This window comes from Homo sapiens, chromosome 8 (assembly GCF_000001405.40).
Source record: "Homo sapiens chromosome 8, GRCh38.p14 Primary Assembly".
Classification (NCBI taxonomy): Eukaryota; Metazoa; Chordata; class Mammalia; order Primates; family Hominidae; genus Homo; species Homo sapiens.
Genome location: NC_000008.11, coordinates 10672628 through 10700623, shown reverse-complemented (window position 1 = coordinate 10700623; position 27996 = coordinate 10672628). Strand labels below are relative to the sequence as shown.

Sequence of the window (27996 nt, the reverse complement as noted above, 5' to 3'; positions counted from 1 at the left end):
GGTAGTTTCCAAGACAGAGACCAGATGATGGCATGGGTTTGTTTCTTTTAATCACAAGAAGTCTCTCTGTGGGTGCTGAGCTCACCGTGCCGCAAGGCTCATGGTTATGGGTGGCTGGTCCCCAGTCAGTCTCGTGTGGCAGTCGGGACCTTCTACTTCCTTGCCTTCGCTTTCTTTCCTTTGCTCGCTCTTTGGGGCTTCAGGGCTTCCTCCTGGCCTGCGTGGCTGGTGATGGGGGGCGGGATAGGGGTGGGGGCGTTGAGGTTCAGAGTCTTCTTCTGAAGCTTCAGGTCCAAGATGGCGAATGTGTTCTGGATCTGGCGCTGCAGCAGCTCCTGCAGGAGCTCCATCTGGGTGTGGACTGCCTGGCAGATGAGGCTCTCCAACTCCTGGAAGGAAAGGGGAAGGCCGATGAGCAGGGCTGGGGAGCCTCGCCGGATCCAGTTCTCAACTCAGCCCCTGTTGCAGGTACGAGAATGTGTCCACTGTCCATCCGTCTCACCCTGCCCACGGGCCGTGGTTGCCTGGACCTCTGGCTTCTGGTTGACTTCAGCCAACTAGGGGCGGGAGGTCTGAGGGTGGGGAGGTCCTCATCTTCTCCTGACTGGCTGTGGCCTGGCCATGGCCACGGACTATGGGTAGTCACATTCCCTGTCCCTCAGCCCTTGCCTATAACTAAAGCTCTCTTTTTGGATTCCAATAGTCATTCCCTCCCTTTTCTTTTCTTGCCTAGAGTGACGGCCAGGCTGTTTGAGTGTGTCATTTGTTCTGGGCCCATCGGCCAGTGCCATATTTCCTATAGACCCTACCTCCTGGTCAATGCAGGCTCCATCTGGATACCCTGGGCCCCCACCATCCTCATTCTCACCTTTCAAAGTTCTAGTGGTAGCTTCATGGGAGGGGACAGGGGAAATTGCTTCAGAGAGTGGGTGTGTCCTCCACCCAGCCAGCCATAGGAAGAATGGAAATGCAGCCACTGTCCACCCATCATGTTAAACAGGAAACCCTGTTGGTCAACTCCATCAGAGTTATAGCCCACAGAGCCTGGATACATGGACCACGTAACTGTGTTTCTCTAGGTTCCTTGCCCGAGCAACCACACAGCATAGGAGCTATTGTCAGGGGACACACTGGAAGCAACTGGTTGGATGTAGTGCATTTCTTTGAGATCTTGTATTCACTTAAAAGATATGCAAAATTGTGCATTTGCCCCAGAATATCCTCTTGTTGTTTTTGTAGAAAACAACATTATTGGGGAAGGTTGTGCTATAAGAGAATGCGTGGTGTTTTTTGTTCTATGCCCTTGAGTGCCCCATCTCAGGTGCATAGCTGGGGCACACAGTGTAGGGGGCTCTGGCTCACCAGCTCCACCAGGCAGGGGCCAGCAGTGCCATGCTGGAGGCTGGGCGGCGAGCTGGGAGGAGCAGGCAGGAACAGCTGTGGGAAGTGCAGGGCAGTAGGGGCCACTGTGGCCATGCCCCACCCTGCTCCGTGTGCTAGAGCAAGGTCCCTGCAGGGGGCCAGAGACATAGACTGTTGCGTGGGTTTTGTTGGGTCTTTATTGAATGTCTTCGTGAACTAAGATCACATGGCCCCCTGATGTGCTATTTGTCTGGAGACTTATCCTTGGATGAGCACCATCCAGGCTGCTATGCTCATTGCTCTTTAGAGATTTTCGTGTGTGTGTGTGTGTGTGTGTGTGTGTGTGTGTGTGTGTGTGTGGTGTGTGTGTAACCCTAAAGGAATACTTCCCAGGGCCATTTGCTCTTCAGCTGATGATTCAGAAATCAAAATCCCTTGGAACTCACAGGCCCTGCAACTCCCCCACTCCAATGCCTGAAACACAGGCACATACATACACACGCACATGCAAATACTTGTCTCTCAAAGTATGTTCAGAGATGATGCAACAATGATGACTTCAGTGCCTATGTATAGCTAAGAAACTAATGTAGGCTTGGCCAGGCCCTCAAGAAGTCAGCTACCCTGAGGCTGGGGTCGTCATGGTCATTGAAGAGCTGGTCATGGGAAATGCTGGCAGCTAGAGCCCCAGTGGTCTGGCAGAACCTCCAAGAGGGCAGCCCAAAGTCTGAGATCCAGGCACCGGATCCTCCTAAGTCCTCCCTGGGCCCCAGCTCCAGCCTTTGTCTCCCTGGTCACATGACCCTCCCCAAGCTGTCCCCATGTCCCTGCCTCCTCCATCTTCTCCCCCATCCTAGGGGCATGCCGGCTCTGGATAATCTGCAGCAGTTCCAAAGCTGGAGTCTTTTTCCTGCCTCTCTTGGTGGAATCTGTCACTGACCAATGACACAGAGGAAGGAACTTAGACTTCAGGGTCAGCCAGGCCTCAGTCCAAATGTGAACTCTACCATATGCTAGCTTGGTGACCTTGGCGAGTTAAAATGTTCTCTGCGCCTCAGTCGTCTCATCACTAAAATAGGGACATGAATTTCTACCTTTAGTCTACCGCGAAGCTCGTGGTAGACTCTTGATTCCTCCCTGCATCTCTCCCCCTCCCCTGTGTGCCACTGAGGAGCTCCCATCTGCAGTGACTCCAGCCCTGGCTGGTGTCTCTGCAGGCCCAGGTGCCCACCCACGGCAGGGGGGCAGAGCCTCACCTGTCTCTCCAGGACCTGGCCGGGCTGCGCAGGCGCGGCGGCAGCGAACGCCTTCTGCAGCGAGTTCTCCCGCTCCAGGCGCAGCGCCTCTTTCAGGAGCAGCACGTCGGCGCGCTTCTGTGCCTCGGCCTCCGTCAGTGTGGCCACCTGCTGCTCGTGGATCCACAAGTCCCTGTCCATGCCCTCGGCCAGCGGGAGGGGATGGGGTGGCATGCACACCTCCAGGTGGGCAACGGTCAGGTCGACCTGCTGGTCCTGGCCCAGGACATACTGGTAGAGTTTGTAGTGGCGGATGAAGGTGTGGTGGAAGTAGTCACAGAGGGCCAGCAGGTGGGTGGTGTTGAAATGGCCCCGGTAATCTCTAAGCTTGTTCCCCAGGATCGTCACAGCCTCAGTAATGGAGCAGCCTGTAGGCACAGGGGCCAAGAACAGAGTGGGAGTGGGACAGAGCTGCCCTGCCAGGCAGTGGATGTGGGCTCTGCACCCCGACAGCCTGGTCACAGAGCCCATGTCCCCACTGCATTTTTAAAAAATATTTATTTCTATTTATTTTTTTTGAGACGGGGTCTAACTCTCACCCAGGCTGGAGTGCAGTGGTGCAATCGTAGCTCACTGCAGCTGCAGCTCGCTGCAGCCGCCAACTTCCAGGCTCAAGAAATCCCCCTGCCTCAGCCTCCTGTGTAGCTGGGACTACAGGTACATGCTACCAAACCTGACTAATTTTGTTTATGTTTTGTGGAGATGAGGTTATCACTGTTTTGCCCAGGCTGAACTCCTGAGCTCAAGCGATCCTCCTGCCTCGGCCTCCTAAAGTACTGGAATTACAGGTGTGAGCCACCATGCCGGCCCTAACTGCAATTCTTATTACCATGCATTAGCTTTTGAAAGGTATCGAGTGTACCACGTTTCTTTTTTTACTTGCAGTAACTTACACTTATCCCATTTATTTCTTATATGATTACCCCAGTATAATCATGTAAATGTGATTATATGATCTCAGTATAATCACATTATCATTACCAGTATTTTGTCTTTTTTTTTTTTTTTCGAACTCCTGGGCATAAGCTATCCTCCCACCGTGGCCTCCCAAAGTGCTGGGATTACAAGAGTGAACCACCACACCTGGCCAGTATTGTGTCTTTTGATGCCTGTTTTAAAGAGTTACTTTCGCTGTGCTTTATCTTGTTTCTACTTCTAACTCTTTAGGAAGGAGATGAGAATGTAGAAAAGGAATTCCCATAAGAGTGGAGTAGGAGGCAGTGGGGCGTGATGGCTCACACCTGTAATCCCACCACTTTGGGAGGCTGAGGCCTGTGTATCACTTGAGGTGAGGAGTTCGAGACCAGCTTGGCCAACATGGCAAAACCCCGTCTCTACTAGAAATACAAATATTAGCTGAGTGTAGTGGCAGGTGCCTGTAATCCCAGCTACTTGGGAGGCTGAGGCAGGAGAATTGCTTGAACCCAGGAGGTGGAGGTTGCAGTGAGCTGAGATCGAGCTACACTGCACTTCAGCCTGGGAAACAGAGCAAGACTCCATCTCAAAAAAAAAAAAAAAAAAAAAAGAAAAGAAAAGAAAAGAAAAGAAAAAAAAAGAGTGGAGCAGGCAGTGATTGATTGATACCCAGGCCACTGCTGTGCTGGTGGCTCATGTTGCAGAGTTGGGAAAATATTATTTACCCCATGCAAAGGATTGGCTCTGAGGGCAGCACCAAGGGCAGTGCTCCTTGTGGGGGTGACCCATCTCCCCACTTCTCTCCTCCTCTCCCCTTCACTCCTCCTGCTCACGACTCTTTCAGGTGCTCAGCACAGTGGTCAGAGGCAGGGCTCTCCCATCATCTGCTTGGGTCTTGACAGAGGAGGTGGTTCATGAAGGGTCGTGACTGAATTACATGCCTACCCTGGTGAGCAAATGAGCAGACACCAGGCAGAGAGATAGGCAAGTCAAGGGCAGCAGAAGAGCATGGCCCAGGCGTGGAGACCTGGGTTCTCGCAGACACCGTCCTGGAAATGTACTGTGGACTTGGCCAAGCCTCTTCTGCTCTGTGACTCAGTGTCCCCCTCTGAAGAATGAGGGCTTGGGCCAGGCGCCCACCAGATCATGTGCTTTGGAGAATTCCACAGTTCCTTCTGCCGACAATGAAAGTAACATGCTGTAGGCAAGGAGCCGGGCTTTTCCCCGAAGTAGGGGACCTGACTTGTCCACAGACTCCTTCCTTTTCTCTTCCTTCATGTGAGCCCTCCATGGGGCCCTATGCGGTTTCCCCACCCCCAGCTAGAGTGCTCCATGCCCCTTCAGCAGGGACTGTCTCAGTCTTGCCCACGAGGTTGTTTTGAAGTCTCCCCACCCCCCATTCCCTTCATGTTTCCTCTTGGCTGGTCACTGAGGCTGTCTTGCTCTGTATGGAAATATTCACCTTGAATCTCCCCAAAATACCCAGGGGGTGGAGACATCATGGTCTTGGGAAAATATTAGCAAAAGGGGCACCACTCCACTTGGAGCCATGTTAGGATGTGCTGGGAGTGACGCCTGGATTCTGGCAATCTCAGCCTCCAGGGGGAGGGAAGGAGGGACTGCTCCATCATGCAGAATCACAGACTGGAGGCTGTACTTCTCCTTTCTGTCATGGCAAACCAGCAGGCTTGGAGCCCAAGGGTTACACTCCTCTCGGGAGGGTACTGGGTTTGGAGGTCTGAGATACTCTGTCTCTCTTAGATATGACACGGGCCTTTTTCTCTCAAATGTAAAATTCAGAATAGTGATACTGACTTCACAGGCTTGTTGGAAGGGTCAAATGGGGTAAGATGTCCAGCTTCGTACAGAGCCTAATACAAGCCAGCAATCAATAAATGCTGTAGAAAGAATTTATTTCTACCTTTGCAAAAAAAATCTCTCCATTCCCCTTCCCCTCCCCCATCCAGCCTTCCCTCTATTCCTTCCTTCCTTCATCTCTGTCCATCTTTCCATTCATCCATTCTTTCACCCACCCATCCATCCATTCATCCATCATCCTTCCACTTATCCATCCATCCATCCGTCCATCCTTCCACCCACCCATCTATGCACCCAACCATCCATCCATCCATCCGTCCACCCATCCATTCGTCCATCCATTCTTCCATCCATTCATTCATCCACTCTTCCATCCATCCATTTTTCCACCCGTTTGTTTATCCATTCACCTATTCATCCATCCATTAATTCTTTGATCTATCCACCCATCCATTCACCCATCCTTCCATTCATTTGTGAAAGGAAAAGAAAAACTTGGGAACCCAATTCACTATGCCAAAAGAAAAAAATTAAGCTGAAAGTTGAGTAACACAAGAAACTGTCTTTTCTTTGATTCCTAAGCAGGTAGCTACAAATAAAAGGTTAAATATCTCCACAGGTAGCTACTCTATGTTTGCCTTATCTTATACAAAGTGCCAATTTACTGAGCAAGGGAGGAATACATAATTGATTATTCCCCACCTGCTCCTTTTCTCTTGCAACATGTGGATTACCATACCCTCCTTCTTTCCCCTCCAGCCCACTTTCCCCTTTAAATATTGAAGCCTTCAAAATTATCTCTGGAGAAAGGAACGGATCTTTCTCCCAGGTACATCATTAACCTTGGCAAAATAACCTTCTAAATTGATTGAGACCTGTCTCAGATACTTTTCAGTTTACATATTTATCCTTCCATTCATCCAAGATTAGTTTGTCAAACGGTGACTGAACCTATAAATTGTTACTGTCTATTAATTACTCGGCACTATGTAAGATTCTGGCAATACTATGACAACAAATAAGTCATATCCCCTGCTCTCAGTTGCTTGCAGGAGAGACACAAGCAGATAATGACAGTGCATAGTAAAGAGGAACAGAGTTGGGTGAACAACAGCATGGGCTTCAGGACCGGGTCCTCTTAGAGAAGGCGATGTGTGAGCTGCATCCCAGAGTGAGGCTGAGCCAGGGCCAGAGGTGGGGCCACTTCACAGCCCAGCTGAGTGACAGCAGAGGAGCAGGCAGCAGCCTGGCCTGGGTGGGAGCAAGGTGAGGCTTGTTGTCGTTGGCACCTAAAGGTGGAGGCAGATGATGGCAAGAGCTGCATGGAGAGGTGGGTGGAAGACAGACCCAAGGGCCTTGGATGGATGCCACACTTAGAAGCCAGGGCTCTGTCTTCTGGGCAGTGCACAGAAGGAGCAGATCTGAGTGGCAGGACCTGGCCGTCCTCGGACGTAGGGTGTGCAAGACAGAAACTGGCACAACCCCCAGGTTCTTACAGAGGATGTTTGAGGGACAGTGGGCCTACCAACAGAGAGAACACCATATGATGAGACGCTGACGTCTGACATGACCCCTGCCCTCAGACAGCTTCCAGTCTTGAAGAGGAGACAGTTGAACAAATGATGGCCACCTGTGTATTCTCAGCCCCCAGCATTGGGATTTGTGTACAGGAGGGGCCCAATCAAAGTCTAGAGAGTAAGTGAACCAGCTCTAATATGTCAAGGTGGAGGTGTTTATTCATTAGGTCAGCAAATACTTATTGGGGGCTTTCCCTGTGCCAAGAATTCTTCCAGGTTCCAGGGAGGTGGTTGAGGAGTGGGGAGGAAACACACAGATATCTAGCTCTGCACAAGGCTGTGTGGGGTTGGCAGCACACATGACAGGAAGAAGGTCAGGAAGGGCTTCCCTGAGGAGGCAGTAAAGGAGCTGGGATGTACTGGGTCAGAGGGGTTTACTGGGCAAAGAGAGGTGGTGAAGGGCAAGGCAAGAGGGGGAGCAGCTTGTGCAAAGGCCCTGTGGTTGAAGCAGGCATGGCCCACTGAGGGACTGAAAGGTCGGGGAGGAAGGCAGTGAGCAGGCTGGAGATCTGCAGGCAAGGAGCTGCCTGGCTGGAGATGAGGCTGGGTAGGCCAGGCCCTCAAAGCCCCTAGCATGCCCTGCCCTACAGGGGTCCCACTCCCAGGACCGCCATCTGGCAGAGGCCCTCTCCACTGCCCATCTCCCTACCCCCGATGGAGTCTTTCTCCAGAGTACTCATCACGATCTTTGATCTTGTGCATTTTACTTGTGTGATTTGTTCTTGGTCATTTTCCCTCCACTATCACTCAAGCTGCGAGGGAGCGAGAGGCGGTCTTTTCTGTTCACTGCTGGGTGCCAAGTGCCAGAGCAGTGCCCAGCTCCCAGGAGGTGCTCTGCAGAGAAGGAGAGACTTCTTGAATGGACACAAGGGAATGGGCGGCCACAGCACTTTCAGAGGCCATGGCAGGGGTATCCCTTGAGCCTGGGAGTTCAAGACCAGCCTGGGCAACATAGAAAGACCCGAACACTATAAAAAAAAAAAAATAGCCAGCATGGTGGTGCATGCCTTTAGTCCCAGCTACTCAGGAGGTTGAGATAGAAGGATCACTTGAGCCCAGGAGGTCAAGGCTACAGATCGTGCCACTGCAGTCCAGTCTGGATGACAGGGTGAGAGCTTGTCTCACACACACACAAAAGGATTTATTTAGGGAACATTCCCATGTGCCAGGTGCTGGGGGATGTTGCCTGTGGCCAAGGCTTTCACCATGGAGGCTGCTGGGCTGGCAGAGCAGGCCCCAAAGGCCAGGCCCACCCAGACATGGCAGAAGGGTTTCCAGCAGGTAGGGGGTGAGCGGAGCCAGGTTCCAGGGAGCCAATTCTGGCAGCAGGAGGAACGAGCTGTGTCGGAAGGAAGGGCCAAGGCCTCGGCGGGGATCAGCCTAGGGCAGGGTCCAGGTCTTGCTTCACTGACCAGAAGCTCTTGGCTGCTGCTGCCCTCAGAACAGCAGAGAACCCCTGGCCCCACACGCCCTGTGTCCCTTCCTGTCCTTTCACTCAGAGCTGGGCATCAGAGCGTGCAGGCCTGCCATCAATTGGCAGGAGCTTCCCCGCAGGGATGCAGTGAGATAAGAAGGAGCTCTGAGAGGCCAGGGCGTCTGCACATGCCCCGTGTCGGGGGCACCAGGCTGGAGTCCAGAGGATGGTGGGAAAGGCCACCCCAAGCAGAGGGGCCAGGAGCAGTGAAGGCCGGAAGTGAGAGGGGCACAGCATGGCTGCGTGCACAGGGCCACACCCAGCTGTCCAGGAGGCAAAACTGGATTCTGCGGACTGAGCTGGGGGACCCAGGGCTTGTGGTCAGTTTGGACAGGGTGGTTCATGACAGCCCTATGTGCCATGTGAAAGAGTTGACTTCATCACGGAACACCAGGACCTCCAAGGATAGCGTACATAGGATTATCAAATTCCTTGGGGTTAAGAACCTGGTGGAGAGGTACTGAGGCCAGACGTGAGAGGTTGGGGCCATCCCAGAGGGAAGTCGGTGGCCGCATGGAGGACAGCAGAGGCTGCCCATTGAGGGATCCCAGAGGGTGAGCAGGCATGAGGCCATCATTTTTGATCAGCAAGCTGGACTCTGGGCCTGTGTGTGTGCGACAGTGTGTGAGCTTCATCAGATGACTCATCACACCTTCTCTGAACTTGCCAGAAGGTGCCCTGCTCCTCCTCCAGCCTGGCCTGGCCTGACGGAGCATGGGGTGGGGTCACCTGCATCCTGCAGCTGTGGGTGGCTGTGTCTGCCTCATTGGCGAAGGCCAGCCTCTGAGCCCTTCTGTTCAGCCCCAGCAGCCGTACACAAAACCCAGATCTGAAAAGAGAAGTCTGCCAGGCTCAGTAGTGTGAATGTGCTCAGCAGCCGTGCCTGGGTGTCCTGGCGGCTTATCATCCTGGCCGATGCCCCACTGTGGCCATGGGCTGTGACCTGCTCCTAAGAGGTCATACAAACCAAGTGTAGACCTTGTCCTGGGTCAACAGGGAAGGAGTCCCTGGGCTGAATTCTAACTTTCGGCCCCCAGACACTCTTGGCTGGTTCTGGGTTTCAGCAAAGCTTGTTGGAAGCCGGCTTATGAGACACACTTTCTTGGCCTCGGACCACACTCCCTGGGCCTCGGGTTGAGAAGTTCCTGGTGACTCAGAAAGTGGAGGGATTAAGTCTCAGGGAGAAGCCGCTGGCTGCCGGGCGGACAGATCTGTGCCTGCAAGTTGCTCTTCAATAACAGGGAGTGGCCCTCATTTGCATTGGCTGCTGGGAACTTCCTGAAGATGGTCCCCAAGCCCCTGGAGGCCAGCACCTGCGAGGATATGCAGCACGAGTGGAGGAGGAGAGGAATGAGGAGGGGAAGGGCGGGGGAGGCTTGCTAGGCAGATGTCAGCACGGGAAGCTCCACGATCAGGGCAGAAACGGCTCGGACCAGGGGGCTCCGGTGGCTTCCTTGGGCCCTCATACCCGGAGTCTGGGCTGGGCGAGCCGGGGGGAGATGCGCCACACCCCTGCGGGGCTGGAAACGGGGAAGGCTGCTCCTTCTGGGTGTGCCTGAGCGGGTGGACTCAGGTACCCCGATAAACCAGTTTGGTTCCCCCATCTTGCCTCCCAGGGGCAGGAACCAAGTCAGGCTACAGCGTGGCACTGCTCACCTTTCCCAATACCTGAGCGCCTACCAGGGCTGGCCCAGTGTGGTGGGAAGCAGACGAAAGCAAGGGCCCAGCATCTCCACCCAACAGCATCCTTCATCCCCCGCACGCCGCATTGCCCCCTGCCCCCTTTGTGCTCCTGGGGAGACTACTAAACTCCTTCACCCCTGGCTGCCGGGGACTGTACCGCCCAGGTGAGCTCCCCTCAGTTAGGGAGCACCCACCGCCTTGTGCCATGCATGCTCTGGGTCACTCGGTCTCCCAGCTCCCAGCACGGTGAGTCTGGCACAGGTACCAACCCCTCTCCTCCCGGGAGAGAAACTGAGGCTCAAAGAGGCTGAGGGATTTGCTCAGGGCCCCTCAGGTGGTATTCAGACTCCAGGCCATCCAGCTCCAAGCGGCTTTGGGGTCTTTTTGTAGATTCTTGGAGGTGGACACTGCAAGGGACCTCCAGCCCCATTGGTCACATTTTCCAAAGAACGTTTTGCAGTAGCTGTTACAGTTGACTCTGGGACAACGTGGGTTGGAACTGCACGAGGAAGGAGTCCCTAGGCTGAATTCTAACTTTTGGCCTCCAGACACTCCTGCGGGTCCACTTACACATAGATTTTCTTCCTGTGCCACCCCCAAAACGGTAAGACCAACCCCTCCTCTTCCTCCCCCTCCGCCTCTTCAACATGAAAATGACGAGAAGAGTGGCCTTGGTGATAATCCACTTCCGCTTAATGAAGGGTAAATGTACTTCCTCTTCCTTATGTTTTTCTTAATACTTTCTTTTCTTCAGCCTACTTTATTGTAAGAACACAGTACATAATACATATTACATACAAAATGTATGGGAATCGACTGTTTATATTATCAGTAAGCTTCTGGTCAACGGTAGGCTATGAGTAAGTAAATTCTGGAAGAGTCCAAAGTTACACATGGGTTTTCAACCGCACAGGAGGTTGGCGGCCCTAAATCTCGTGTTCTTCAAGAGTCACCTGTATATCAAAATGAATGTTTCACAGCCAGAGAGACCCTTTAAGAGATGTTGGATCCAGGGAGATTAAATAGAGCTTTAATATGCTAATGAGCTCAACAAAATATGCAAATGAGCTTAGCAGATCACCAAAAGGCATGGAGCGTTTGCAATGCTTCTCAAATCTATTTGGGGCAAGTAGTCTCTCTGGACCAAGGAGCACATCTCTCTGGACCAAGGAGAAATGTTGAGCTTGTACAATCGTTTTTCTCTACAAATGGGGAAACTGAGGCCCAGAAAAAGGATGAGACTTGCCTAAAGCTAACCTGTGGCAAAGTCAGGACCTGAGCTTCAGCCCAGGTGTGAGGGGTCGGGAACCTGGTGGTAGAGCTGCCTTCCCCATCACCACTCCCTGTGTAGGGAAGGGATTGGTGTCTATTTCTTTTCATTGCCCCAGCCCTGGTGCTTTTTGATAGGTCAGAAATGTCTGTGAAAGCTTGGCTGGGGCACTGTCTGCCCAGGGAAGGGAACGGAGGAGCCAGGGAAGGAGACTGGGCCAGGTGCTGTTCTTGGGAGTTAGCTTTGTGGCTGACCTGCTGTCCACGGCCTGGGGACAGGCAGGATTGTCAGGAAGAGCCCTGAGAGCTTGCCACCTTTGCTTGAGACCTCTTCTGTGGCTCCTGCCTGTCCCGGGGTCCGTGGTCTGTTGATCTTCCCACCTCCTACTGCAGCACAAGTGGTCCCTTCAGGGTGACCCCTTTCCAAAGCCACCTGGTAAACTGCAGGGAGAGGAGAGAGGGCAGGCTGGTTGGGCCTGACACTCCCATGGGGGAAGAGGAGCAGCTGCATCCCTCCTGACCTCATCAGGATGGGCCCGGACTGGCCAAAGGAGGACCACGCTGGCTGGAGATGCATCATCCTCCTGCCCTGTGACTTGGGCACCAAGGATTCAATAGCTGTGTGTTCTGTTCTCAGCCACCATTCACGGTCACACAGCAGCCACCATTGCGCCTAGGGAACACCTGGACTGAAGATGGGACTGAAGATGGCACTGATGCTGGGGCCATTCCTTGAAGCTCGGCTCCTCTGTCAGGGGCAGTAGGGTATGTCTGGTATGAGCACAGACTGGGGATTCAGGCAGATGCAGGCTAACCTCAGGCTGCACAACTTCATCACTTGCAGAAGTTATTTGGCCTCTCTGGGCATCAGTGTTCTCTTTCTTTGTCTTTTTTATTCCATTTATTAAAACTGGCCCAACTATGATGTTAGAAGTCAGTAGTAGTTTCTGGAAAGAGTCAGAAAGAGGCTTTTGGTTGCTGATAATTTTCTTTTTTCTTTTTTCTTTTCTTTTTTTTTTTTTTCTGGAGGTGGAGTCTTGCTCTGTTGCCCAGGCTGGAGTGCAGTGGCGTGATCTTGGCTCACTGCAGCCTCCACCTCCCACGTTCAAGTGATCCTCCTGCCTCAGCCTCCCAAGTAGGTGGAACTACAGGTGTACACTACCACGCCTGGCTAATTTTTGTATTTTTAGTAGACACAGACTTCACCTTATTGGCCAGGCTGGTCTTGAATTCCTCACCTCAGGTGATCCACCCACCTCGGCCTCCCAAAGTGCTGGGATTACAGGTGTGAGCCACTGCACCTGGCCTGGCTGCTGATAATGTTTTAATTCTACTTTCTAGTTCTGGATGCTGTTAAATGGGCACACTTTCTGAGAAATATCAAGATGAAGATTTATAATTTATGCATTTTTCTCTGTGTATGCTATAATTAAATGAAAGATTTACTTTAAGAAGATGGTGACCCTGAAAAATAAGTTATTCCTAATTTGTGCAATGATGATAAAATCACAGAAAAGTAAACATATTTAAAAATAGTGTTTAAAAGCAGAATCTTTTCACACTGGAAGCAGTTTTTCTAATACAATCTCTTTCTTTTTTTTTTTTTTTTTTTTTTGAGATGGAGTCTCACTGTGTCACCCAGGCTGGATTGCAGTGGAGCGATCTTACTCAGCTGACTGCAACCTCCGCCTCCCAGATTCAAGCGATTCTCCTGTCTCAGCTTCCCAAGTAGCTGTATTTTTAGTAGAGATGGGGGTTTTGCCATGTTGGTCAGGCTGGTCTTGAACTCCTGATCTCAGGTGATACACCCGCCTTGGCCTCCCAAACTGCCGGGATTACATGTGTTAGCCATTGCGCCTAGCCGTAATGCAATCTATTTCTATTATGCAAGACTTTTAATAAAAACCATTGCATATATTGATTCCATGGTATAAGAGACATGGGCAGCAGTGTTCTTACCTGTAAAATAGAGGCAATAAAAATCTCTACCTCGTGAGATTAGGCGACAGCATGCATATGTGGTGCTTTCCACAGTGCCTGGTACACAGTAAACACTCAATAAGTAATGCCATTGTCACCGTCATTGCCATCATCAGGCCTCTGCTGGCATTCCTACACAGCTGGTGGGCTGTGTGGGCTCCTGGACTGAACCTGGTTTGGCAGAGAATGAAGCATGGCTCTAGGACTATAACCCTGGAGACTGGATTTCTTCAATCTAATCCCTTCTTGGCGGTTGCCTGGTGATTCTACTCACCTATGGTGGGATGGGCGGGCACGGGGCCCCACCCAAAGAGTAGTGGAGGCTCTTTCTTTCCTGGTCACTCAAACAGTGAAGGGGACAGGACAGCTGGGAGTGGGCTGGGTCCCCAGTTATGGGTAGGGGAATAGGACACCACTTACTGCATAACTCAACAGGCCCTTGTGCTTTATCCTCTTTCTCCCCACTATTGTGGGTGCCTCCATGGCAAGAACCTGCTAGATGGGCCAGACTTCCCAAATCCAAATTCTCTTTTTATTACTATTACTTTATTGAATTAATTAATTTTTTAATACCACCAGGTATTCCAGGGCGGTCTCCCATCCAAGTACTAACCATGTCCGACTCTGCTTAGCTTCTAAGACTAGACAAGATAGGCATGTTCAAGGTGGTGTGGCTGTAGACCCAAGTCTAGATTCTTGTACTGAAAAGCATGTGGGTGCTTATGAGAACGACAGGGCAGATAATGGAAAATCTTCCCAGAAAGCTCTGGACATGTGGTTGCTGCCCAGTGCTAAGCTCTCAGGAAATAATACTATGACTACATTAGTGTGTTATTTTACAGTTTTAAAGCATTTACATTATCCATCAACTCATTTGGTTATCACAACCAACCTATGAAATAGGTATTTGACACCATTTAACAGATGAAGAAACTGAGGTTTAGAGCATGCATGTGGCTTGCCTACTGCTATTCAGTAGCAAAATCAGGTCTCAGTCCAGATCCTCCAACTCCAAGGAGAGTACAACACAGCCATTTTTTAGGAGTGAATGGAAGATATATGAAATATACAGCACTACAATATGTCCACTAGCATTCTTAGATTTAAATTTAATTTTTCAATTGTTGTAATATACATAACATAACACTGACCATTTTAACTACTTCCTTTCTTTTTCTTTTTGAGATGGAGTCTCGATCTGTTGCCCAGGCTAGAGTGCAGTGGTGCAATCTCGGCTCACTGCAACCTCCACCTCCCGGGCTCAAGTGATTCTCCCGCCTCAGCCTCCTGAGTAGTTGGGACTACAGGCACATGTCACCATGCCCAGCTAATTTTTTGTATTTTTAGTAGAGACAGGATTTCACCGTGTTAGCCAGGATGGTCTCAATCTCCTTATCTCGTGATCCACCTGCCTCAGCCTCCCAAAGTGCTGGGATTACAGGCGTGAGCCACTTTACCCGGCCGATTATAACTATTTTTAAGTTTATAGTCTATGGCATTAAGAACATTCACATTATTTTGCAGCCATCACTGCCATCCATCTCCAGAGCTTTCTTATCATCCCAAACTAGAACTCCATATCCATTAAACATTAACTCCCCACTCCCCCTCCTCCTGGCCCTTGGCAATCCCCATTCTACTTCCTGTCTCTATGAATTTGACTACTCTGTGTTCCTCATAGACGGACTCATACGATATTTATTCTTTTGCATCTAGATTATTTCACGTAACGTAATGTCTTCAAGGTTCCTCCGTGTCGTAGCATGGGACAGAATTGCCTTCCTTTGTAAGGCTGAATGATATTCCATTGTATGGATAGATCACATTCTGCTTATCCATTCATCCATCCATGCTCACTAGGGTGACTTCCACTTTTGGCTATTGTGAGTAATACTTCTATGAGCATGGATGTACAAACACCTCCCCAAGTCTCCACTTTCAATTCTTTTGGGTGTGTACCCAGAGAAGCCATTGTTGAATCATATGCCACTTCCATGGTTGCTTTTTTGAAGAACTGCCATATTGGTTTCCTATCCACTATGTCTTTTAAGTTTGTTTGATAAGATACAGTAGTCCACCCTTAACTGTAGCTCCAGTTTCCTTGGTTTTAGTAACCTGTGGTCAACCGTAGTCCAAAAAGATTAAGTAAAAATCTCCGGAAATAAATAGTTCATAAGTTTTAGATGTTGCACCGTTTTGAGTGGCATGATGGAATCTGGGTCATCTTGCTCCGCCCCCTGTGGGGAGTGGATCACTCCTTCCTTCAGAGGACCCCCACTCTCAATGCTACCCTCCCATTGGTCACTTAGGAGCTATCTCCGTTATCAGATGGGCCGTCGACGTATCTCAGCGTTCATGCTCAAGTCACCCTTATTTGACTTAATGATGGCCCCAAAGGGCAACAGTGGTGATGCTGGCAATTCGGATATGCCAAACAGAAGCCACCAAGTGCTTCCTTTCAGTGAAAAGGTGAAAGTTCTCGATTTCGTAAGGAAACAAAGAAAATCATATGCTGAGGTTTCTAAGAACTACGTAAGAACAAATCTTCTATCTGTGAAATTGTGAAGAGAGAAAAATAAATTTGTGAGTAGTGGATATAGGGTGTGGTACCATCCCCTGTTTCAGGCACCCCTTGGGGTTTTGAAATATATCTCTGATGGATTAGAGGGGACTACTATAAACCAATATCCATATTAAGGGGAAAATCTACTCAAACACTAGGATTAGAAATATTTCATTGTTCTTTTAAAGACATCTTTTTTGGTCACTTGCCTAGGGCTCAGAGGGCAAGCTCAGGACCACATGTTTTAAAGACTGTCATGGACTCTTGTCCACGCCCTTCTCTTTGTCCATAATGGTCCCCCTACCTGGTCTGCTTAGGAGACTTGGCCCCTCACTGATCCTTGCCGCCATTTCTCAAGGAGCTAGAATGATTCATGTGAAAGAGCTTTGGCAGAAGGGACAGGCTCTGCAGCCAGAAAGTCTCAAGGTTAGTACTGGTTCTTCCCTCTATTGTGTGATGATTGGCAAGTTATCAAACCTCTCTGAACTTCAGTTGAATTAGTGAAATGTGGACAGCAGTACCCATCCACCCAAGACTGCCATGGGGACTAAATGAGATGATATGGGCAGAGGGCTCAGTGTGCCATGTCTATGGCTGAGATTATGATCATCATCCCCTTCCCTGGTCCTCCTGGAAGCACGGGGCTCCTGTCCTGCTGCAGTCACCTCCTGCCTAGCATCGTGGGAGGGCCGGCTCCTTAGCACGCAGGGATTTGGGCTCACTCTGGGCTTGCTGGAGAATGGGGCAGAACAGGGGCCAGCCGGTGGAAGGCTCAAAGAGGCAGCTTTCAGTGCAACAGCAGGAAGAATTGTCCAGAAGCACCGGCCGCTCACTGGCAGAGTAGGTCTTCTCTCCAGAAGTGAGGAGGCATTCCCCATCAGTCTCACAGCTGAGGGCCTCAGATGCTCAGACACCGGAAAGACGGGATTCCTGGATGTCTGTCAGATGGGGGTTGGATCCAGTGACCTCTGGGGCTCCTCTCAACTCTCATAAGCTGTGGGGATTTCCGTGGAGCTGACGGTCCCTGTAGCCACAGCTGGGGCACTGCCAGTGCATCTTGGCCAAGCCCTGCAGCTGACTCGAGCTTGGTGAGGGGAGCCCTGACTTGGGGTCCTGGTCATCCTCATGGTCATCATCCCCCAGAGATGAAAGCGACTAGGCAGTCCCACAGTCTCAGGGACACAGTGCCATTCCCAGCCTGAGATGTGGCTACTCCATCCTCATACCTTGTCCCCTCTGATGCTGGGGGCTCCAAGGCTGACCAGTAAGTCCAGCTGATGGAGGAAGAACCTGAGAAATCAGATGTGGGAAGGGGTCCTGAGAGAACGTGTACCATCTGCCCACACACAGATGGCACATCCAGGCCAGGACACCTTAGCCAAAGGGCACAACTCACCCTGCCAGGTAGGCCTGGGCCACGTACCATCCTGGAGCCTTCCTGCTGGGGCCAGGATCCCAGCCTCTCCTGTGAGCAGCTCTGGGTGACCCAGTTAGGAAGTCAGCAGGTGTGTGACCTGGCTCATCCAGGTGTTGCTCCGTCTGCACTCCGCAGCCCTGGCCCACTCGCCATGGGGGTCTCCTGGGCTGCCTGCTTCTCAGGCCTTCCTGCACCCCTGGATGAGTGGATAGGTCCCCGTTGTCCAAATGAAAAGTCACTCAGCTGGGTGGATGCTGACCTGGGTTCAAATCCCAACACCACTCACTCGAGGTGCGGCCTTGGGCAAGTTACCCAATCTCTCCAGACCTCAGTGTCTTCATCTTTCAAATGGCACCTGCGAAGCCAGGTTGCAGTGACAATTACAGAAGCTGTGTTAAAGGCCAAGCACATGACACACAAGGCCTCCCTCTGTGGGACGGATAGTCTCTTGCGGAAGGCAGGGGAAGGTTTCTATGGCCCCGTCTTGATTTCTGACCTACTTACTGTCACCGGCTCACCCGAGGAGTGGTGGCCTTGCTCAGTGTTACAGGCTGTACTGCTCACACCCTAGTTTACGTGTTGAGGTCCTAATCCCCAGTATGTCAGGACATACTTGGAAAGAGGGTCTTTATAGAGGCGATTAGGGTCCAATGAGATCATTAGGGCCAGCCTTCATCCAACAGGACTGCTGTCATCATAACAAGAGAAAATGTGGACACACACAGAGACGCCAGGGAACAGGTGCACAGAGGGAGACCACAAGAGGAAGTGGGGAGAAGGCGGATGTCCACAAGCCAAGGAGAGAGGCTTCGGGAGAAACGAGCCCTGCCACGGCCTTGACCTTGGGCTTCCAGCCTCCAGAACTATGAGGAAATAAATGTTTGTTGTTGAACCCACACAGTCCATGGTTCTGTGCAGCAACCCTGGTAAACTAATACTGCACGGAGGCATCTACAAAAGGAGAGCTGCTCGTTTGTCCCAAGAAATGCTCCTCTAAGATCTTAATCTAGGGCCGCTGTGGAGACTTCCACCATCCATCAATCATGAAGTCTCACTTAAAGGCCCCTCCAGGTCTCGCCTGAGGGGTGTCAGGTTCTGGTTGGGAAGGAGGGGTCCTTGGAGGCCTTTCCCAGGCTGCAGAGGCTGGCACCTTCTCTCTGCTTCAGGGGTCTTGAGAGGCTGGAGGCTCCCCGATGTGAGGGCGGGGTACTTCAGGGCTGCCGGGCAGACCGTGGGCATGGCCATGAGTGTCCCCACAAGAACTGTCATGCCAGGAGCTTGGAAGAGTCACTGCCTCCTGCCCGCCAAGGCTGCTGTGGGCAGGTGTCTGCCTTCCCATCCTAGGCTACCTGGGCAGCATTTCCTTTAGAACCAGGAGTGGCCATGGGTGGAACTGCAGATGCCAGGACCATGACGCTCTTCACCAGGCACTCACCCGGCTGCCCTGTGCCTCCACTGACCGGTCACAAGTCCCGCCTCCTGCCAGGCCTGGGATTGGCGGGCCTGGCCATATGCAAAGGTTCTTCCTGCTTCAGCTGTCTTGAAAGAGCGTCCAAGAGAGGCCGTGCCTGCCACGCGTGATGATGATGAAGGGCGGAGCAGCACAGAGGTCAGAGTGGTGGTGGGTTGGGGAGGTCCTGCAGGTGCCAGGTGGCCACAGGTGGGACACCTCCAGGCTCAGTTTCCTGCCAAGGGAAGCCTGAAGCAGGGGAGGCTGTCCCCACCTTCCCTGCCTCCTGTGCAGGCCTCCTGGGCACCCTAAATCTCTGCGGCTCCTCAAGGCCCCCACATCCCTCTCCTCTCCTGAGCCTCCCCAGGATTAGATAAGGCTGGCAAACTGTGCCCCCTTCCTGTGGTTTTCTCCCACCAGGACGTCCCAAGCTGGAAGACTCCCGCCCCTCTGTGCCACGGCTGGTGGCTTCACCCTTGACCCGGGGGAGATGGCTGGATGTGATCTGCCCAGAGCTTCCCAGAGGCTGGCCAAGAAGGCACAAGGAAAGGACTCCTTCTTCTGGCCTGGTGTGGAGAGCAGAACGTCCTGGAGAGGCGTTTGCCAGGCCAGAGCCAGCTGAAGCTTTTGAAGAAAGGGCCACCTTCCCTCCCTGCGCCAAGGCCTGATCGGACTGGGAGATAAACTGCACTGGCAGCTGTCCTGGCAGAGCTCTGAATCACTGCTGTGCAAACATGACCCTCCTTCACTGCGACTGCCAGCTTTGTTATCTAGAATGCAAACACAATGCAACCATCCTTAGCTCCAGATTAACAACAACAAAAACATCCCTGGAGAAGCCGCTTTCCAAGATGACTGAAAGCCCAGTGTGGATTTTAGCCAAAACAGACAGAGGACCCCCGCTCCTGCCTGGGCTGCCTGCACCCACATTCTGAAATGGGGACAATGCCAGGAGGCGGACAGGGTGGGATGCAAGGTGGAAAAGAGCTGGAATGTGCCAGGGACCTGACTTGCCAGCTACGCCAGCTCTTTCTGCCCCTGGCCGCCTGGGCCCCCTCCTGAGGACAGCAAACAGCTTCCTGCTCTCTCGGTCTGGTAGGCAGCAAGGCTGGCACCCTTGTGTGCTCAGGGCCAAGCATGAGTGTGGGCAGCTGGTTAGAGTCCAGGTCAGAGGTGGTCTGGGCCTCCCTTCTGCTGGCCCATGCCTTGAAACTATCTGCAGGATGAAGGCAAGACAAGAAAGGGTGTAGACAGTGAGCACCCTGATGGCCTGCGTGCAGCTCCTTCTTGCCCTGAACCATGGCTGCAGAGGGTGGCACCTTCTGTCTGTTTGATGAGTCTTGGACATAGGTGGATGTGGATATGGGACCATCCTGTGTCCCCTCCAGCCATATGGTAGCGAACATTGATTAAGCACTTACTATGTGCTGGTCATCCTGCTGTGAGTGCTGCATGTCTGATTCATTTGCTCCTTCCTATAAGTAGGAACTGTTACTGCCCCCATTTGACAGAGGTGGAAACGGAGGCACAGAGAGGAAACTATCGTTCTCAAGGCTATGCAGTGTCGTGACCGCAGTGGGATTTGAACTGAGACTTTTTGACTGCAGAGTTTGCTGTTTGCTGCCTCTCACATTGGCGGTGCTTGCAGTGTGGAAGGAGCGTCACTGGGGCAAGACCAGCCCCTCGCCGCCTCTGCGCATCTTGAACTCTCTGTCTCCATGGGCATCGGGAATTGACTCATTTATTAGTTTATTCATTCACTGGTTTCTTCCTTCAACTCCTATTCTGTGCCATATGCATCGCTCAGCACTGGGGGGTCGGAGGGGACAAAGATGTACAGGGCGCAGACCCCTCTCCGGCAGCTCCAGCCTCTCCAGGCCAGGCCTTCCTCACTCTCCAGCTGAGGACTCCAGGGAGGCCTGTGGTCTGAGTGGAGAGAGAAAGGGGACGGCCTGGTGAAGCAGGGCATGAGAAGGACGGACAAGGCAGTCATCACAGGGAAGGAGCCGGGCCAGGCACGCCTGCAGGGCCCAGAGAGGACGCAGACATCACAGGGAAGGGGCCGGGCCAGGCACGCCTGCAGGGCCCAGAGAGGACGCAGCTGCAGAAACGCAGGTGGGAGGCAGCCAGGCCGTGGCTGTGGCCTGGAGAGAGAAGCTAAGCCCATGAGGCCCAACGCGGAGGGGCCAAGATCAGCTCTGGGTGATGCGATCCAAGGACGGGGAGAGGCTTAGTCAGGAGGGGAGTTTACCCAGGGCTGGAGGGCACAGGAGAGAATGGAGGATAGATAACGGCTGGTGACTCAGAGCCTATGGTCCAAACCTGCACAGTGCCACTTGGATGACACCAGAGAAGATCAAGGTTAGGGCTGGGGTTGGGCAGAACTGGAGCAGAAACAACTGAGCAAAGCCGAGGGAGGAAAGGCTGTGATTTCCACGAGCGATACTGCAGGACTTCCTAGGCCGCTGCTGTCCGGGCGGGGCATGCAGGAGACCTAAAGTTCCAGGTGGACAGTGGAGCCCAGGAGGGTGCCTGAGACCCCTGCAAGCGGGTGTAACATAAAGGCCGACTCCAGTGCACACTTTCAGGGCTTCCTCTATGCTGACCACCGTTCCAGGGCCATAAATGAACTCAACAAGCCTGTGAAGTGGATGCTGTTCTTGCCCCACATTTACAGACGAGTGACCTGAAGCACAGAGAGGCTGAGGGAATGGCCAAGGTCCCACAGCTAGGAAATGGCAAAACCGGGTCCCCAGAAACATGTAGGGCTCAGCCTGGGCCTGGAGGTGACGGCAGCGTTTGTCAGTGAGGAGAACCCGGGAAGGAGGTGCAGCTGGAATTCTACCCTCGGCATCTGGGGGACTGCAGGGCTTGTTCTCGCTCTCACGAGTGTCCCTGTGCAAGGCAGTAAGAACACAGGTGCTGACTAGGACGCCACCTGGGCCAGCCTCCTGGCTCAGGGACAGCAGGCACCATCCTGAATGGCACCGTGGTGAGCCGAGGTGCAGGAGGCCTGGCTGTCGTGGGGCTCTGCACCCTGGGGTGCTGCGGCTGCACTCCGCTGCCTACTCTCTCCCCACTGCAGCCAGCCTGGCATGGCTGTCAGGAGCCAGCTCTCCTGGTGGGTCAGTCACCCACTGGGCAGAACTGGGACAGTCTCATTTGTCTCCCATCTTGCTCCTGACTTCTGAAACAAATCTGCAGTTTGCTTTTTTTTTTTTTTTTTTTAAATTACTTCCTGGTCCTGCCTCTGGTCCTGCCCCATCTCCTGCAGTGCAGGGTCACTGGGGCAGTGCAGGGGCTGAGGAGAAAGGGCCCTGGCACGTGTCTACTGGGCCTCGTCCTTGCTAGGGCCCGTCTGAAGCGGGTGACCCCTGACTATGCCAGGTTTCTGGATCACATCCTGCTCCCTCGAGTTCCCAGGTCCTTGTGTCTCCTAAAAATAAAGGTGCCACTCACTGGGCGCTTCCTAGGCACCGAGCACCATGCTGTGGGCTTTAAGGCACAGCCTCATTTGATCCTTCTAACAATCCCAGGTGGAGAGTGATCCTGCATCCCCATTTTTCTAGATGTGTCCACAGAGGCTCAGAAGGATGAGACTTGCCCTAGACCACGCACCCAGTAAAGGGCCAGGTAAGACCTGAATTTTCCCTCTGGACCCCCAGCCTCCTGATGTCTATTTTCAGCCAGTTTAATTTCAGGCATGGGAAGCCCACCTAAGAGCTTGTTTCGAGTCCATGTTTGTATTAACCATGCCTCACACGCTTTCAGATGATACGAAAGTGAGAGGAGGAACTCGTAAGGTGGATGGCCCAGGATTAAGGCTGAGCAGATTTCAGGAGGAAGGAAAGGAAGGCCAGTCTGAACGAGGTGGTATCCGTGGGGGTGACTGTGAGATCCTGCAGGTGTATTCGAAATCGCCATTGCACAAGGGCAGGATGGGGAAATGGTTACGGGCTTTAGTGGACTGCCAGCCTGATGCCAATCTGTGTACCTGATGCTGATAAAGCCAGTGCACCCATCGGCTATATAAACAGGAGCATCATGACCAACACAGGGGAGGTGGTACATCCCTGACCACCTCACCGATTGCTGTGTTTGAATCCAGATGCCGTATGTTAAGAATAATACTGGCAAACACAAGGCTACCTGGATGAGGGCAGCAAGAGAGGGGGCAGAGGTTAGTTAGGAGGTGGTGGGGGCAGGGTCTATGGGAATGATGTCATATTAAAATAAAAAAAGAGGTGGTGTGGTATGGGTGGTAGTAAACACAGGCATATTTGACTCATTATATATAGCATCTGAAGACTAAAATATGGTAAATAATGAACATATGTTAAATAAATAAAATGACATATATGATTTATGGAAGCTCTAGATAAATGTATGTAGCAGAAATTTAGCTAGCATTTCAGTAAGTATTTGAGTTTTTAAAAAGAATAATGAAAGGTACTAGGATGTCTAGTCCAAATGGAAAGATGTACTTAGTCGCATTATATGAAGCCCAATAAATATGCTCAGGGCCCACACGCTGCTAAGAATCTGGAAGACAGATTTGGAGAGGGGCGGAAGGCAGCTGTAGGCTAGATACAAGAAAGGACTTCCTAATGATGAGTGTGGTCATGTAAGGAATGAAGTGCAGGAGGAGGAGGGGTTCCCTGTTCCTTAGGGGGTGTCTGTGGAAGCTGGAAGAGCTTAGTTGGCATCCAGGGGCTCCCTGCAGTCAGGGAGAGGAGTTTTCTGTGCACTCAGTTGGTGAGTCCATGAGACATAGCTGTGCTGTGTTGATAAGGCATGCTCCAACCAGAAGTGCCGAAAGCTCCAGAGCGCCCTAATCTTGGGTTGAAGTTGGGTTTGCATCATCATCGACTGTTTTCCAAGGGCTTGGCCTGTGGAGGCTCTGATGGGGACTTGAAAGAGTTCGCTTCCCACCTGCTTGCGGCTGACATTCCTCTTCCTGGTTGTCAGTGTTTGTTCTGGCCACGAGCCCCTCTAGAGCTCAGACACCGGGATTGAACTCTGGTACTCACATGTGGCTGTGAGCAGTGGGGAGGCAGGGCCTTGAGGGATACCCTGAAGGCTCCTGTCCATGGGGCTAGGGATGGCAGGAGGGGGATGAGATGTCCCGAGAATCTCTGAGTCCAGCCTGTGAGTGATGCCATGTCTCGCTCTAGCCTTTAGGCTGGGACCACTGGGTGGGAACGCAGGCTGGCAGGAGAGAATTGGAAGAGAACCTGGCAGCCGAAGAGATTAAAGAAAGGCTGACCCAGGTGTGCCTAAGGCTGGGAGCACTGGATGCCTTCAAACAGAGGTGCCGTGGGACATTCTGTGTGTCTGAAAAAGCACTCGCTGTTTGGTAAATCGATTGCAGAATGCAAGATTTGAAAGCAGTGGACCAATCAAGAGAGGGGGGTGGAAATGGTGCTGGCCCTGGGGGTGGTCAGAAGTGGTGAGGTTAGAGAAGGACATTGAGGTGTTGCCAGCAGGACTGAGTGATGAGTTCTGGGTGCCTTAAGGATGGCGCCTTGTGTGTGAGAGACACAGCCTCGTGCAGCCTGTGTGATTGGCAGCTACTGAGATTATGACCAGAAAGCCAGGGAAGACCTCTAATATACCTCACTTAAAAAAAAATTATTATACTTTTTTGGAAAATAATTTCAAAGCAAAATAAATTAAATGAAAAGTTGCAACAATAGTAGAAAGAAACTCTTCCCAGTCCACTTAAAAGAAGTGCCCCACCCTACACACCCCACCGAAGCATCCTTTCACGTGTATCTCCTAAAGCAAGAACATTCATCATCACGACCCATCCGATCCAGACCCTCACCCTGAACATGTCACTACCACCCGGTCCCCAGACCACACTCTGGTTTCCACAGTTCTCCCAATAACCTCATTCATAGCAAAAAGACCCAGACAGGCCACAGGTCACGTGTGAAGACATCCCTTCGCCTCTTTCAGTTTGGAAAGGTTTATCAGTCTTTGCTGGGCTCTTATGGCCTTCGAGTATTTGAAGCTGGCAGGAGGGCTACTTTGAGCCATGGTCCTACTTTGCTGTTTTCTCTTGATTAGATTCGGGCCATGAGTCTTTGTTGGAACCATCACAGGAGAATGCTGGCTGCTCACTGCGTCTGACCAGGCACACGGGATTCTGTGTGTGGCCTTTTACTGACAATGTCCACTTGGATCATTTGACTAAGGAGGCAGCTGTCAGCTTCTTCCCTGTAAGAGTATTCCTTTCTCTTTGTCACTACGAAGGATGTTGTGGGAGAGGTTCTTAGAAAGCATGGAAGTATCCCATTTCTCATCAAGCATCCGCCCACCACTTTCAGCACCCATGGATGGTTCTCAGTGGAATGAAGTATCACTGTGAGGGCAGCCCCAGAGAGCCTGCCCCATGTATTTGCTTAATGAATGAATCTGCACTTCATTGCCCAAGAGGTGGGTGGAGTGACCACAGCTCCTCATGCCACCAGGTCCTTTTCTCATGCAAGCCCTGCACAGGGCCAGGGAGTGGGCAATGCTGCTTCCATGCACCCACCTGACTGCATCCCCCATCTTTGCGTGAGCAAGCTCCAGGACTCCCCCGGCACCTGCAGCAAAGCCAGATCTCCTACCAGGAACAACGTGCAGCCCTTCAGGTCCATGAAGGGTTTTAAGTCAGGGAAGGTGACACATTTGATTTATGTTAAGCAAAACCAAACGAAAACAAAACAAAAGCAAACACCCTGGCTGTTGTGCAAACAGCTTGGAGTGGTTCAGATTTGCAGTCAGGCAGACCAATGAAGACTCAGTGAGGATGTTTGGGAAGGCTGAGTAGAGACCTTATTTTTAAGCATGTGAGGAGGCCCAATGCCAGGGAAGGGCAGGAAGGGGCCCTGGCTCCTCCAAGGCTGCTGGGGCTGTGGACGGCAGGGGAGTTCTATGTGTACCCACCCCATCCCGCCAGCCTCTGCTGACTCCTGCCCTGGACACACCATACCTTTGGTTTCCCTTAGCAGCTCTTCTGTGAACTTGACCACCTGGGCCACCTCCACCCATGGGAAGCCTTTGCCCACTGCAAAGATGATGCTCTCGTAGAGGGTGTCCAGCAGGATGCTCCTCCGGGAGTCTCTCTGTTCGTCAAACTCCTCCCAGTTCAGAAGCCTCCGCAGGCGCTCCCGACCTTGTGGTCTCTGCAGGGAATGACATGGGAACTGCAGGGTATGATGTGGGGGTTGCAGGGCATGATATAGGGGCTACGGGGTGTGATATGGGGGCTATAGGGTGTGATATGGGGGCTGTGGGGTGTGATATGGGGGTTGCAGGGCATGATATGGGGGCTGCATGGTGTGATATGGGGGTTGCAGGGCATGATATGGGGGCTACAGGGTGTGCTATGGGGGTTGCAGGATATGATATGGGGGCTACAGGGTGTGATATGGGGGCTGCGGGGTGTGATATGGGGGTTGCAGGGCATGATATGGGGGCTACAGGGTGTGCTATGGGGGTTGCAGGATATGATATGGGGGCTACAGGGTGTGATATGGGGGCTGCGGGGTGTGATATGGGGGCTGCAGGGTATGATATGAGGGTTGTGGGGTATGATATGGGGTTGTGGGGCATGATATGAGGGCTACAGGGTGTGATATGGGGGCTGCAGGCTGTGATATGGGGGCTGCAGGGTGTGATGTGTGGTCTGTGGGATGTGATATGGGGGCTGCAGGGTATGATATGGGGGTTGCAGGGTATGACATGATGGTTGTGGGGTATGATATGGGGGTTGCGGGGTATGATATGAAGGTTGTGGGGTATGATATGGGGGTTGCGGGGTATGATGTGAAGGTTGTGGGGTATGATATGGGGGTTGTGGGATATGATATGGGGGTCGGAGGGTATGATATGGGGCTGCAGGGTATGATATCGAGGTTGCAGGGTATGATATGGAGGCTGGAGAGTGTGATATGGGGGTTGCAGGGTATAATATGGGGTTGAGGAGTTGAGAAGCCATCTCTACTGGGTAAGACACTTTTGGGGTCCCCACAGTGGTGCTCCAGAGCCCTGAAGAGTAACTAGGTATGTGGGTACCCCTGGGAAGAGCTGTGCTTTGGTTTCTGGGCAGCACTCCCTCCTCCTGGGACTTGCTCTTCTTCTAGGACTTTCTTTCCTCTGAGAGTTCTCATGCTGGCCACTGCAGCCCAGGTTTTGTGTACCTCCAGCAGGCCTCAGGTTCTGAAATACGATCCCTATCCCCCTGCCTAAAATAAAATTTGACTTTCCTGAGTCTACTCTTAACTGACTGCAGTAGAGGCATTGATCTGACAATGAAATTTATACTACAGTGTAAGTGACTGACCAAGAAGGGGCTTGGTGAGGTAATGCTTTAGCAGAAGGAATGAGTCTTGCTTGGTGAAAATTCAGACACACGGGCAGGCCAAGAGGAAAAGGTAAACTTTTTTCCCTGCCTAGAAGTAAAAACCCATTTTACTTGAGAGTTCAGCTGGCCCTTCTGGAAAGTTCTTATAGGCTCCCAGCAGATGTAGGAGAAGCAAGTGCCACTTAAAGGAAGTGGCAAAAAAATGTTTGGGGTGCAGCAGAGACCCACCCACCACACGCAAGAGTGTTGCTTTCCTGAGGCAAGGGATCCTCTGGCTGGGAGGACCCCAAGGGACCCTGGAGGACCAATGGTGGCCTTAGTGACAGAGGGAGGCCTAGAGTCCTGTCCTCGGCCCCCAGAGACTCCTCTTCCACTGCCACCACTCTTCTGCCTAATCTAGACAGCACCCCCTAGAAAGCAGCAGAGCCTCCCCCAACACACTCCCTGCACACAGTGGCTCGCAGGACCCTCAGGGTCCCAGAGGAGGCAGGCACAGTCCCTCACTTCCCTTCAGGCAGGATCTGCTCCTTCTGGGCCTGCATGTGGCTTGAAAAACAGCCCACAAGGTCCAGGGGCTGGTAAGCCCTGGCCTGAAGTTTGGGCCCCACATCTCGTCACAGCCTCAGAGGTGCTGTGCTGAGCCGGGGTGGCTGCCCCGGGGTCTCCTGAAGAGGCGCTTCCAGTGCCCACCTCCCTATGTGCCCAGGATGAGCCAGTTTCTGTTTAAAAGCCACATTTTCTCTTCCTTCACCTGAAGTTGGAAGACTTCTTTCACTCCCTGGGGTGTTAAGAGTGCCATGGCCCCTGCATCTGGTTGCCAGGAGACGGAGCCAGACT

At 52.3% G+C, this 27996-nt stretch overlaps 1 protein-coding gene and 1 pseudogene across 2 annotated transcripts, besides 4 other annotated features; both read right to left on the bottom strand.

Annotated features, from left to right (window-relative positions):
• Positions 1-33: 33 nt before the first annotated feature.
• Positions 34-27996, bottom strand: C8orf74 (chromosome 8 open reading frame 74). Of its 2 annotated transcripts, none has more exons than NM_001040032.2 (4): positions 27911-27996; positions 25786-25978; positions 2619-3025; positions 34-389 (listed from the first exon to the last, which is right to left on the bottom strand). In NM_001040032.2, exons 1-4 carry the CDS (start codon positions 27956-27958, stop codon positions 153-155), a joined length of 885 nt encoding a protein of 294 aa, NP_001035121.2. In that variant the 5' UTR covers positions 27959-27996; the 3' UTR covers positions 34-152. The 2 variants fall into 2 exon arrangements, with proteins under 2 accessions (NP_001035121.2, XP_047277449.1); XM_047421493.1 differs by lacking the exon at positions 27911-27996 and adding an exon at positions 26924-26965 and having other exon boundaries at positions 25786-26041.
• On the bottom strand, positions 13937-14055 carry RNA5SP252 (RNA, 5S ribosomal pseudogene 252; annotated as a pseudogene).
• Positions 20324-20861: an enhancer, noted in NCBI's record as "H3K4me1 hESC enhancer chr8:10537273-10537810 (GRCh37/hg19 assembly coordinates)". NCBI's record gives its function as "activates a minimal SCP1, AML or CMV promoter by ChIP-STARR-seq in primed H9 embryonic stem cells {active_cell/tissue: H9 hESC(primed)}" and the evidence as "EXISTENCE:reporter gene assay evidence [ECO:0000049][PMID:30033119]".
• Positions 20862-21401: an enhancer, noted in NCBI's record as "H3K4me1 hESC enhancer chr8:10536733-10537272 (GRCh37/hg19 assembly coordinates)". NCBI's record gives its function as "activates a minimal SCP1, AML or CMV promoter by ChIP-STARR-seq in primed H9 embryonic stem cells {active_cell/tissue: H9 hESC(primed)}" and the evidence as "EXISTENCE:reporter gene assay evidence [ECO:0000049][PMID:30033119]".
• Positions 21418-21917: an enhancer, noted in NCBI's record as "H3K4me1 hESC enhancer chr8:10536217-10536716 (GRCh37/hg19 assembly coordinates)". NCBI's record gives its function as "activates a minimal SCP1, AML or CMV promoter by ChIP-STARR-seq in primed H9 embryonic stem cells {active_cell/tissue: H9 hESC(primed)}" and the evidence as "EXISTENCE:reporter gene assay evidence [ECO:0000049][PMID:30033119]".
• Positions 21918-22419: an enhancer, noted in NCBI's record as "H3K4me1 hESC enhancer chr8:10535715-10536216 (GRCh37/hg19 assembly coordinates)". NCBI's record gives its function as "activates a minimal SCP1, AML or CMV promoter by ChIP-STARR-seq in naive H9 embryonic stem cells {active_cell/tissue: H9 hESC(naive)}" and the evidence as "EXISTENCE:reporter gene assay evidence [ECO:0000049][PMID:30033119]".